The following is a 14,354-nucleotide window of genomic DNA, read 5'->3' on the forward strand; positions in this document are numbered from 1 at the left end:
TCACTGTATCTATGTACTGTGAACACTGTAATAAAAAGAATTTATGTAAACCGCCATACAGCAATTTTTACATTTAAATAATTTATAAAAATGCCAGTGGCTCTTATTTCACCGTGTAGTTTGCAGCACTACAGAATAATTGCAACTCACAGAAAGATAATGAGCAATGGGAGCATTTAAGATACTTTTAGATTAGCATAATTAACACAATTTTATTCAAAGTCTAGTTAGAATTTTAGAACATTCCTTAACTAACTTTACAGTAGTGTTCTCATCATTCAGTGTAGATTAACATAATCCTGATATTTTACCTTAGTAAGTGTAAGATACAGTTGTGCAGGAATTACAAAAGCACTCACTTCCTTATTGTTCCTACAAAGAAAATAAACTAGTTAATTTGAAACAAGTAAAACACATTCATTTTTGTAACCTTAGCAACTAGCTTTATTTGTAATAGTGAAAGTATGTATTGAGATCATTAAGGTCATGCAAAAATTTGCAATGGATCCCAAATATTCTGTAATGTAAAAAGATTTCCTCAATTTTGAGTTTCTTTAATGTGGTGTGTAAATAATTGAGCCTAGATATTTTGCACATTTGGTTAAAACACACAAACACAGAGACAGGGGGAGAGAGAGAGACAGAGAGAGAGAGAGAGAGAGAGAGAGAGAGAGAGAGACATACTTCGGAGATATTGCAGGTTTGTTTCCAGAACACTGCAATAAAGTGAGTATTTCTTTTTTTTATTTTTATTTTTATTTTTTTGAGATGGAGTCTCACTCTGTCACCCAGGCTGGAGTGCAGTGGCACAATCTCGGCTCACTGCAAACTCCGCCTCCCGGGTTCACGCCATTCTCCTGCCTCAGCCTCCCGAGTAGCTGGGACTACAGGCACTCGCCACCACACCCGGCTAATTTTTTGTATTTTTAGTAGAGATGGGGTTTCACCGTGTTAGCCAGGATGGTCTCGATCTCCTGACCTTGTGATCCGCCCACCTCGGCCTCCCAAAGTGCTGGGATTACAGGCGTGAGCCACAGCGCCCGGCAGTAAAGTGAATACTTCAATGAAGCAAGTGCTATAGTTTAGATGTTTGACTTCTTGAAAATCTCATGTTGAAACTTGTACTCCAATGTTGGGGGTGGGGCTTAGTAGGAGGTGTTTGGATAACAGGGGTGGATCCCTCATGAATGGCTTGATGCCATTCTTACAGTAGTGAGTGAATTCTTGCTCTAATAGTTCCCTGAGGGATGCTGTTTCAAAGAGCCTGCAACCTCCTACCCTGCTCTCTCGCTTGCTCTTTTTCCATGTGTTTCGGCACCACATAGTAATGCTGCTCCCCTTTGCCTTCCGCCACGAGTGGAAGCTTGACCTCCTCACATCCTCACAAGAAGTCAAGCAGAAGGATGCCAGGGCTATGCTTCTTGTACAGCCTGCAGAACCATGAGCGAAATACACCTCCTTTCTATACAAATTACCCAGACTCAGGTATTCCTTCATAGCAACATAGAGTAAGACAGTGAGCCACACAATGTTTTTTTGGTGTCCCAGTACATATAAAAGTTATATTTATATTATACTATAGTTTATTAAGTGTGCAATAGTATAATATCTAAAAAACAATGTGCATATGTTAATTTTACAATACTTTATTTTAAAAAGTGCTAATAATTATCTGTCCTTTAAATGAGTCCTAGTCTTTTTGCTGGTGGAGGGTTTCACCTCACTGTTAATGGCCGCTAACTTAAGAGTAGTGTTTACTGAAGGTTGGGGTGGCTGTGGCAATTTCTTAAAATAAGACAAATTTTACCCATAGTAGAAATTCTTTTGAAATTGGAGTCAATACTTTCCAAAACTGCCACTGCTTTATAATTTAAGTTTATGTAATATTCTAAATCCTTTATTGTCATTTCAACAATGTTCACAGACTCTTCACCAGCAGTAGATTTCATGTCCAGAAACCACTTTCTTTCCTCATCCTTAAGAAGCAAGTCTTTCTTCATTTGAGTTTTATCATGATATTGCAGCAATTATTTATTGAAGAAAATAAACTTCTTCCAAACTCCTGTTAATGTTGATGTTTTGATTTCCTCTCATGAATCAAAAATATTCTTAATATCGTCTAGAATGGTGAATCCATTACAGAGGTTTTCAATTTATTTTGCCCAGATTCATCAGAGGAATAACTATCGCTATACCTTTAGAAAATGTGTTTCTTAAATAGAAAGCCTTGAATATCAAATGACCTCTTGACACATGGGCTACAGAATAGATTTTGCATTAGCAGGTATAAAAACAATATTAATCTCAGCCAGGAGCGGTGGCTCACGCCTGTAATCCTACCATTTTGGGAGGCCAAGGTGGGTGGATTGCCTGAGCTCAGGAGTTTGAGACCAGCCTGGGTAACATGGTGAAACCCCGTCTCTACTAAAATCCAAAAAAATTAGCCATGCGTGGCAGTGTGTGCCTGTAATCCCAGCTACTTGGGAGGCTGAGGCAGGACGCTTGAACCCAGGAGGCAGAGGTTGCAGTGAGCCGAGATCACGCCATTGCACTCCAGCCTGCGTGACAGAGTGAGACTCCATCTCAAAATAATTATAATACTAAGAAGAATAAGAATAATATTAATCTCTTTGTATATCTCCCTCAGAGCTCTTGGGTGACCATATGTATAGTCAATGAGCAGTAATATTTTGAAAGCAATTTTAATCTAAGTGGTAGGTCTCAACAGTGGGCTTGACAATTTTGTAAGCCACGCTGTAAACATGGGCATGGTTATCTAGTCTTAGTTTCCATTTATAGAGCATAGGTAGAGTATAATTCTCAAGGGCCCTAGACTTTTCTAAATGGTAAATGAGCATTGACTTCTACTTAAAGTTAATGGCTGCATTAGCCTCTAACAAGAGAGTCATCCTGTCCTTTGAAGCTTTAAAGTCAGGCTTTGACTTCTCTTCTCTAGCTATGAAAATTCTAGATGGCATCTTCTTCCAATGTAAGGCTGTGTCATGTACATTAAAATCTATTTAGTGTAGTCATCTTCATCAGTGATCTTTGCTAGATCTTCTGGATAACTTGCTGCAGCTTCTACATCAGCACTTGCTGCTTCACCTTGCACTTTCACGCTATGGAGGCTTATCTTCTTAAACTTCATGAACCAACCTCTGCTAGCTTCAAATTTTTCTTCTGCAGCTTCCTCACCCCTCTCAGTCTTCATAAAATCGAAGGCAGTTAGGACCTTTTAATGAATTAGGCTTTGGCTTAAGGGAATTCTGTGGCTGATTGATCTTCTATCCAAACCACTCTTAACTTTCTTCATATCAGCAATAAGGCCATTTGCTTTCTTATCATTTATGTGTTCACTGAAGTAGCACTTTTAATTACTTTCCAAAACTCTTCCTTTCTGTTCAAATCTTGGCTAACTTTAGAACAAGAGGCCTAATTTCAGCCTCTATCTCAGCCTTCCACATACCTTCCTCACTAAGCTGAATAATGTCTAGCTTTTGATTTAAAGTGACAGATATGTGATTATTCCTTTCACTTGAAAATGTAGCAGTCATTGTAGGATTATTAACTGGCCCTATTTTAATATTGTTGTCAATAGGGAGGCCTGAAGAGAGGGAGAGAGATGTGGGATTGTTGGGGCAGTTAGAACACACATATTTTTCTACTGAGTTTGCCGACTTGCATGGGAAAAGTTCATGGGGCCCCAAAACAATTACAATAGGAACATCAAAGATCCCTGATTGCAGATCACCATAACAAATATAATGATGATAAAAATATTTGAAATATTGTGAAAATTACCAAACTGTGACACAGAGACACAAAATGAGTACATGCTGTTGAAAAAAAAATGGCACAAATTATTTTGCTCATTGCAAAGTTGTTAGAAATATTTCATTTGTAAAAGGTACAATATTTGCAAAGTACAATAAATTAAATCATAATAAAATGAGGTACGCCTACATACATGCACGCACACACACACACACGTATAAGGTTAAAGTTTTAGGGTAAAATTTATCAATAAATTACATGAGAATGACCTTTCATGTAACTTCATAATGACTATGGAAATTTACATGGTCCACATGGCATCTGCTTGTGAAATTAAATAAAAAACTATGGGAGGGGAGTGTTAGTGGATGAATCATGTCCCTCTAAAACTCATATTGAAGCTGAATTTCCTAGCACCTCAGAATGTGAAAATATTTGGAGACAGGGCCTTTAGAGAAGTGATTAATCTAACATGAGACTATTAAGTGGGCCCTATTATAATCTGGCCAGTGTGTTTATAAGAAGAGGAAATTCAGAAACACACAATCATACCAGAAATGCATTGTCAGAGAAAAAAACCCATGTGAGAACACAAAGAGAAGACAGCCATCCACAAGCCAAGGAATGAAGCGTCAAAAGAATCTATACTTGTCAACATCATGATCTTGGGCCCTCAGCCTCTGAACTATGAGAAAATAAATCTCTGCTGTTTAAGACACCTAGTTTGTGGTATTCTGTTCTGGCAGCCCTAGGAAACATACAGGAGATCTTTGCCAAAAAGTCACAAGATAATTTTGTTAACTTTAAATACTTAATGATTACTACATTTACCTATGCATGAAAGGGGAGAGAATGTTTGAATTTCTCATTTAAAATGTCATTTTTGTTGCAACATTTTACAAATACTCAATACAAACTTTATTTAAGCTGCTGTCAGTTGATAATACTCATCATCTATTTCCACTCCATTTTAAGATCACTCATGTATTACTAAGAAGGCAACACTAAAGCTCATATTTTAAGGATGTGCATGTAGCCAGGTAACTAGAAACAATTCAGACTCTACTTTCTTGAAGTAGTGGCATAAAATTCAAATGCAGAAGAGAAGAGGTGACGTTTCAGTATCAGTGATAACTCACAGGTGATCTTTAGCAAATATAGAGTAGCAGCAGGCATAGTCTATGCCTCCTTACCTAGTCACAAACTTCATGAGTGTGGGTGGCTCTGTGATGACATCAGTGACAACAGTAGTTTTCTGGCCAGGGTCATGGCAGCAATGGTATGTCATTGTAGACAATGACAGTGACTTCCATCCCTCCAACTCCGCCAGTGGTTTGACAAGCATGTAATTTCCTATGTTAAATGTATTTCTGCATTTAGTATGATTTTGGTTGTAGATTTGTTGCATATAGCTTTAACTATATTGAGTTCTGTTCTTCCAATACCTACTTTGTTGAGGGTTTTCATCATGAAGCCATGCTGAATTTTATTAAATGCTTTTTCTGCATCTACTGAGATGATCATTTGGTTTTATTTTTAATTTTGTTCATATGGTGAATCATGCTTATTGATTTGCATATGTTGTATATCCTTGCATCTCTGAAATAAAAGCCACTTGATCATGGTATATTATCTTTTTGATGTACTGTTGGATTCAGTTTGCTAGTATTTTGTTGAAAATGTTTGTATTTATGTTCATCAGAAATATTGGCCTGTAGTTTTTTTCATTGTTGTTGTGTCCTTGCCTGGCTTTGTTATCAGGGCAATAGTGGCTCCATAGAGTGAGTTAGGGAAGATTTACTCCTTTTCGATGTGTGTGTGTGTGTGTGTGTGTGTGTGTGTGTTTAACAGTTTTTAGAGGATGGTGCTAGTTCTTCTTTGACACCTGGTATAATTTGGCTGTGAATCTGTAAGGTCCTCGTTTTTTTGTTGTTGTTGATGTTGGAAAATTTTTTATTACTGATTCAATCTCACAGTTGATTGTTGGCCTGTTCAAAATTTCCTTTTCTTCCAGGTTCAATCTTGGGAGTTTGTATGTTTCCAGGAATGCATATATTTCTTCCAGTTTATCTAATTTGTGAGCACACAGAGGTTCACAGTAGTCTCTCATGATCTGTTGTATTTCTGTGGCATCAGTTTTAATTCTCCTTTTTCATTTCTGATCATGCCTATTTGAACCTCTTTTTTTTTTTTGGTTAGTCTAGCTGGTGATCTATTAATTTTGTTTACCTTTTCAAAGAATCAACTTTTAATTTCATTGATTCTTTGTATTTTTATCTCAATTGCATTAAGTTCTTCTCTGATTTTTTTTTATTTCTTTTCTTCTAATAGCTTTGAGTTTGGTTTGCTACTTTCTTTTCTTTTCTAGTTTCTTGAGGTACCATAGTAAGTTGTTAATTTGTGATCTTTCTATCTTTTTAATGTAGGCATTGAATGCTATAAACTTTCTCCTTATCACTGCTTTTGCTGTATCCCAGAGGCTCTGATATGTTGTGCCTCTATTATCACTTGTTTCAAACAATTGAAATATCTGGAATGACTTCTGTTTCTTATACTGAACGATGAATTTGTTATATAATGTTGTGCTTAACATATGAAAAATTTTTACCAGCAAAGGATTAAAAAAATCATAACAAACAGTTTTGATACTATCAAGCTAGACAAGGAAAAGGCAAAATATTTCAGCTTATCCTACCAGATACCCCGAGTCTTCCCTGAGCAGACTACAGATTCCCACCTGGTTTCCACATTAAACAGGCAACATGTTTTCTGAATAAAACATTGCTAAAGACAGAGAGCAAAAATTAATAAACTAGGTTAAAGTTGAAAAATATATAGAAATAGATAGTGAACAATGTATTCCTTGATAATAAAACAAACAAAATAACACTAATAATGATTACAACAAGCAAATTTGCTCTATTGTTTACCTTGCTGGGGTCAGTTTATAAAAAGTTAACATGTGTGTTCTATTAGTCCATATTCACACTACTGATAAAGGTATACGCAAGACTAGGAAGAAAAAGAGGTTTAATTGGACTTACAGTTCCACATGGCTGGGGAGGCCTCAGAAGCATGGCAGGAGGTGAAAGCCACTTCTTACATGGCAGCAGCAAGAAAAAATGAGGAAGAAGCAAAAGTGGAAATCCCTGATAAACCCATCAGATCTTGTGAGACTTACTCACTATCACGAGAATAGCATGGGAAAGACCAGCCCCTAAGATTTAATTCCTCCCCCTGGGTCCCTCCCACAACAGGTGGGAATTCTAGGAGATACAATTCAAGTTGAGATTTGGGTGGGGACACAGCCAAACTACAGTATTCCAACCCTGGCCCCTCCTAATCTGTCTTCACATTTCAAAACCAACCATGCCTTTCCAGCAGTCCCCTAAAGTCTTAACTCACTTCAGCATAAACCCAAATGTCCACAGTCCAAATTCTCATCTGAGACAAGGCAAGTCCCTTCAGCCTATGAGCCTGTAAAATCAAAAGCAATCTAGTTATTTCCTAGATACAATGGGGGTACAGGTATTGGGTAAATACAGCCATTCCAAGTGGGAGAAATTGGCCAAAACAAAGGGGTCACAGGGCCCATGCAAGACCAAAATCCAGTGGGGCAAATTTTAAATCTCCAAAATGATCTCTTTTGACTCCATGTCTCACACCCAGGTCATGCTGATGCAAAAGGTCAGTTTCCATGGTCTTAGGCAGCTCAGCCACTGTGGCTTTGCAGGGTACAGCCTCTTTCCTGGCTGCCTTCATGGGCTGGTGTTGGGTGTTTGCAGCTTTTCCAACTGCACAGTGCTAGCTGTGGTGGATCCATCATTCTGGGGTCTGGAGGATGGTGTCCCTCTTCTCACAGCTCAACTAGGCAGTGTCAATGTAGGGATTCTCTGTGGGGGCTCCAACCCCACATTTCCCTTCTGCATTGCCTAGAAGAAGTTCTCTATGAGGGCCCCACCCCTGCAGCAAATATGTGCCTGGGCATCCAGGCGTTTCCATTTATCTTCTGAAATCTAGGCAGAGGTTCTCAAACCTCAATTCTTGACTTCTGTGTACCTGCAGGCTCAACACCATGTGAAAGCTGCCAAGCCTTGGGGCTTCCATCCTCTGAGGCAAGCCCCTCTGAAGCCACAGCCCAAGCTCTATGTTGACCCCTTTCTGTCATGGCTAGAGCAGCTTGGGCACAGGGCATCAAGTCCCTAGGCCGCAAACAATACAGGGACCCTGGGCTAGGCCCACAGAACCACTTTTGCCTCCTGGGTCTCGGGGCCTGTGATGGGAGGGGCTGCTGTGAAGGTCTCTGACACAGCCTGGAGACCTATTCCTCATGATATTGGGGATTAACATTAGGATCCTTGCTACTTACATAAATTTCTGCAGCCATCTTGATTTTCTTCTCAAAAAATGAGTTTTTCTTTTTCTACTGCATTGTCAGGCTGCAAGTTTTCTAAACTTTTATGCTCTGTTTCCCATTTAAAAGCAAATGCCTTTTACAGAACCCAAGTCACCTCTTGAATGCTTTGCAGCTTAGAAATTTCTTCTGCCCGATACCCTAAATCATCTCTCTCAAGTTCAGAGTTCCACAAATCTTTAAGGCAGGGGTAAAATGCTGCCAGTCTCTTTGCTAAAACCTAACAAGAGTCACCTTTGCTCCACTTCCCAAAAAGTTCCTCATCTCCATCTGAGACCACCTTTCATTGTCCATATCATTATCAGCATTTTGGTCAACGCCATTTAACAAGGCTCTAGGTTGTTCCATACTTTCCCACATTTTCCTGTCTTCTTCTGAGTACTCCAAACTGTCCCAACCTCTGTGTGTTACCCACTTCCAAAGTCACTTCCACATTTTTGGGTATCATTTCAGCAACATCCCACTCTCAGTACCAATTTATTGTATTAGTCTGTTTTCACCTTGCTAATAAATATGCAGTGCATATTCCAGTATTTAAGAAAATGGGAATTATAGCTACAGATGAGAGTTGAACACCGTTCAAAAAAGGCTCTTGGTACACTACTGGACTTTACTAAAAAACTGAGTCCTGAGAATGGAACATTGAGAGGCCAGGTAGGCAACATTCCAATCATGAAGTAGTTATTATCCCACCACCAGAATTGGAAAGTTGCTGTACTATGGGAACTGAATAGTAGCCCTGAAAAGCAGCAGTGAGGAAAAAAAAATTTATATATATATATTTATATTTATATAACATATAATATATATAATTTATATATTACATATATTTTGTTTATATATATATACATACATGTCTCACACATATGTTACCCACACACACACATAAATAATGTATATATATTACTTAATACACACATATATATGCAATTTACTTGAAAAAGAAAAAAAACAACCACTGGGCCTATTTATTTAAGTTATCAAAATTAGCCAATTTGTACCAATATTCTTTGTTCATTTAATTAACTCAGTGAAGTTTAAGGATTAATTTTTATTTGTGATTTAAATATTCAAAATCTCCTCAGGAGTTTATAGAAAAAACTCAATGTAAGAGCAAAATTATTTTAGTAAGCCGTATTAATCATGAAATAATCTTATCCTTTTAAGGTGTTCAATTCCAGGATGAACTGATTAATGAAACACAGTAATAATGCCAGATATATTAATCAGTAAATTATAGTAATAAATTTAAGCATTTACAATAATATATCTTTCAATTAAAATAAGCAGGGTTTGTTGTTGTTTTTTAGCTTCATACAATCTAGAATAAACCAGTTTGAAATACATAGCCCCAAAGGTGTTTATTTTTCAGCATATTAAAATATTGTATTATTATAGTATTTTGTCAATGTTAGACATAAGAATGTAAATGATGCATAACAATATTAATGGAATAATTTTATGTCATCTCACCACACATTGAACCTAGACATCCCCAGTACACTTGAAACACACCTTCAAAAAGAAACAATGACAACCCAGTAGAAATGATAAAGTAATCAAATGATTGATTAGGCAACTTTAGTTTAGATAGTTTAGATGAGCCCTTGATAATCAATGCCAAAAAAAAGATGGAACTAGAAAATCACTAATTTATGTATTCAAAAGAAATAATGAAGTCAATTGATATGGTTTGGCTCTGTGTCCCCTCCCAAATCTTATCTCAAATTGTAATCCACACATGTTGGAGGAGGGGCCTGATGGGAGATAATTAGATCATGGTGGTGGATTTCTCCCTTCTTATTCTCATGATAGTGAATGAATTGTCATGAGAGCTGATGGCCTTAAAGTGTGGCACTCCCCCTTGCTCTCTCTCTATCCTGCAGCTATGTAAGACATGCTACGTTTCCCTTTTAACTTCTGCCATCATTGTAAGTTTCCTGAGGCCTCCCCAGCCATATGGAACTGTAAATCGATGAAACCTTTTTTTCTTTATAAATTACCCAGTCTCGGGTAACTGTGAAAACAGGCTAATATAGAAAATTGGTACCAAATTAGTGGGACATTTCTATAAAGATAACTGAGAATGTGGAAATGACATTGGAACTAGGTAACCAGTAGAGTTTGAAACAGCTTGGAGGGTTCAGAACAAGACAGTAAGATGAGAAAAAGTTTGGAACTTCCTAGAGACTAGTTGAATGGTTTTGACCAAAATGCTGATAGTGATATTAACAATGAAGTCCAGGCTGAGGTAGCCTCAGATGGAGATGAGGAACTTGGTGGAAACTGGAGCAAAGGTGACTCTTGCTATGCTTTAGCAAAGAGACTTGTGAAGTTTGCCCCTGCCCTAGAGATGTGTGGAACTTTCAACTTGAGACAAATGATTTAGGATATCTGGCAGAAGAAATTTCTAAGCAGTAAAGCATTCAAGAGGTGACCTGGCTTTTTCTAAAAGCACATCATCATGCACATTCACAAAAAGATGGTTTGAAATTTGAACTTATGTTTAAAAGGGGAGCAGAGCATATAAGTTTGGAAAATTTGCAGCCTGACCACGTGATAGAAGAGAAAAACCCAGATTTTTGGAAGAAATTCAAGCCAGTTGCAGAAATTTGCATAAGTGACAGGGAGCCAAAAGTTAATAGCCAAGACAATGGGGAAAATATCTCCAGGGCATTTCAGAGGTCTTTGAGGCAACCCATCCCATCACAGATCTTGAGGCCTAGGAGGGAAATATGGTTTCTTGGGCTGAGGTGAAGGCCCTCCTGCTCTGTGCAGTTTTGGGACAAGATATACTGCGTCCCAGCCATGCCAGCTCCAGCCATGGCTAAAAAGCGCCAAAGTACATCTAAGATCATTGCTTCAGAGGGTGCAAGCCCCAAGCCTTGGCAGGTTCCACATGGTGTTGGGCCTGCAGAAGTGCGGATAACAAGAATTGAGTTTTGTGAACCTCAGCATAGACTTCAGAGAATGTATGGAAATGCCTAGATGTCCAGGCAGAAGTCTGCTGCAGGGGCCCATGAAGAACCTCTACTAGGGCAGTGGAGATGGGAAATGTGGGGTTGGAGCCCCCACACAGAGTCCCCACTGGGGCGCTGCCTAGTGGAGCTGTGAGAAGAGGGCCACTGTGCTCCAGATTCCAGAATGGTAGATCCACTGACAATTTGCATCATGCACTTGGAAAAGCTGCAAGCACAAAATACCAGCCCATGCAAGCAGCCATGGGCCTATTCCCTGCAGAGCCATAGGGGTGGAGTTGCCCAAAGCTTTGTGAGCTGGCCCCATGCCTCAGCATGCCCTGGAGGTAAGACGTGAAGTCAAATGGGATTATTTTGGAGTTTAAAGGTTTAATGACTACCCTGTTGGGTTTGAACTTGCATAGTGCATGTGGCCCCTTTGTTTTGTCCCAATTTCTCCCATTTGGAATGGGAACATTTACCTACCACTCTCTCAAGCCTCCTGTACAGGAGGTCCATTAGTGCCTCAGTTCTATTCAGCGTGGACCTGAAGGTGCTTCCCACCCCCAAGCCACCTGTCAGGGTGAGCTGAGAGATCAGCTGGGAAGAGCAGAGCCACTTGTGGCCAAGAGGAATTGTTCTGGGGGTTGATTAGTAAGTAGGAGAGTGAAAGGGGAGAAGAAAACAATGTACGGGGATTGAACGTCTCCAGCTGAAGAAGAGGAGGCTTAGAGGTTTTTTACCACTGGGGAACATATCCGAGTCACAGCACCAAAGTATGTTCCCAGCAGTGAATCCATATGTGTCTGCAGCAACTTCAATTCTTGCCTCCTTAGAAGAAAGAATTTGACTGAGGAGCATAAGGCAAAAGGAGAGACAGAGGCAAGTTTTAGAGCAAAAGTGAGTTTTTTTTAAAAAGCTTTAGAGAAGTAAAGCACTCTTGGAAGAGGGCCAAGCAGACGACTTGGGAGATCAAGTGCCCTGTTTGACCTTTGACTTGGGGTTTTATACACAGGCATACTACTATGATCTTGCATTCCTTCTCCCCTGATTCTTCCCTTTGGGGTGGGCTGTCCACATGTGCAGCGGCCTGCTAGCACTTGGGAGTTGAGCATGTGCAATGTGTTTACTGGAGTTGTGTTTACTGGAGCAGTGTGAATGGAACTGGAGGCCATAATTCTAAGCAAATTAATGCAAGAACAGAATACCAAATACTACATGTTCTCATTCAAAAGTAAGAGCTAAACATTGAGCACACATGGACATAAACATGGGAACAATAAACACTACAGACTACTAGATGGGGAGGGAGGGGCCCATGGCTTGAGAAACTACCTGTTGGGTACTATGCTCACTACCTGGATGTAATATACTCATATAGCAAACTTGCATATATACCTCCTGTATCTGAAATAGAAGTTGAAATTTTTAAAAAATAATAATTACATAAATGTTAATCACATCTAAAAAATAGCTTCACAGCAACATCAGACTAGTGTTTGTCTAAACATCTGGGCACCATAGCCTAGCCAAGTTGACCCATAAAATTGACCATCACACCTGCTTAAATGCCTCCAGAAGCTTCCCCCTTCTAAGCACATGTTCCATGACCTGTTGATTGCTCGCATTTCAGCCTCAGCATGAAGTGCTTCCACCTCATCTTCCACTCCAGTAAGGCTGACCCGCCAGCAACTTTCCTTTTTATAGCATTCATTTATTCAACCAGTGTAATGAACAAATACTTGCTGAGCTCCTCCAAGGTACCAGGCACTCTCAAGGCTAGGCACTGGAGACAACAAAGTTGACAAAGCCACACACTCCTTTTCTCAGAGCACTTACATCTATCAGTACTGCTGCACTCACCACATCCACAGAAATGGCTGCATCTACGTGTTTCTCTCACCAGGCAAATCCTATGTGTCTGTCTGTATCCTCCACTGCACAGACAAGCATGCATGTATATCTACAGTGTATAATTTTTGAAGGTCACAAAACTAATCTGCAAAATCTCACTTTCTTAATTCATTCCAGTCCTAAAATAAATTTGTATTTTGAGCTGTTATTACCCTTGGAACTGGAAACAATAGTGCCAATAGATGACACTTTTGGCAATTGAGTAATAATTCAATCATTTCAAAAATGAAATTTTTCAATTTCAGGAGGCTACCTTTTCCCATTCTTTTTCCCAGTGTGACAACTAAGTTCTTGGGAGAACGTTTATACCTGAAGGTTATAGCTAAGGTGTGCCCTTAGACGGGTTGTAGAAAACTCAGGTGTTCTTCTGTGCCCCTCTGGGCTTAGGAGGGGCTCAGGGACTCTGTTGGGCCTTAGCTGCCTGCACACCTGGAAGCCATGTTTATTTTCTGCTGCAGGTTCTTCTCTTTTAATTTGCTGCTTCCTTTGCTTCACCCTAGGAGTGAAACAGATGTTTTCTCTGCTTTCAGAAGGAGCAAGGGAAACAAGGTTGAATGTGGAAGTCTGAGACAGCAGTACAGTTCTAGGGATGTTTGGCAAGGCTGATGGGGAGTCCTCTCATCAAAGTCACTCATCTCAGAAATGGGCCTGTCTGGTATCCCTTCCACACTCAGGCATAGTTGAGGAGCAGCCTGTGGACAGGGTACTCTCTGCAGGAACCCAGTGATGAATTTCTAAGCACAGCAGCAGGGGCTGTTGGTCACTTATGAGATAAATAACAAGATCCAAAATATTTTCAAAGCATTGCATCATCCAGATTGAGAGGTCAGGATTTTTTGGGAAAGCCATTTATAGCTAAGGCATGGTAACTAGATGGAAATAGAGTACACTTGGTTGCTGGAAATTCTTCATTGGTTCATTTGGTCAGTCATTCCCATTTTCCAGGCTCCATCTGACTTTATTCCTACACTCAAGAAGTTTACACTTTAATGGGGATACAGATATTCATTATTAGCAAATGTATAATTACAAATATATTTATATATGTACATACATACATATACATATGCATATACATTTTTAAGGTAATTGAGGTAGTGTATTAGTCACTTTCTATACATTCTCATATTGAATTATTTAATATAGTGGATTTCTGTAACTGTAACTAAGAGGCTTGGAAACAATGACAGCAAATGTTCCTGTAGCTGTGGAAATTATTTAAAATGCATCTAATGCAGAGTCCAGGTATTGGCTTTCTTGTGATGCCCACCTGTAAGGTTCTGGTAAAAGGCTGA

The sequence above is a fragment of the Homo sapiens genome, chromosome 5 (genome assembly GCF_000001405.40).
Source record: "Homo sapiens chromosome 5, GRCh38.p14 Primary Assembly".
NCBI classification, from domain to species: Eukaryota; Metazoa; Chordata; class Mammalia; order Primates; family Hominidae; genus Homo; species Homo sapiens.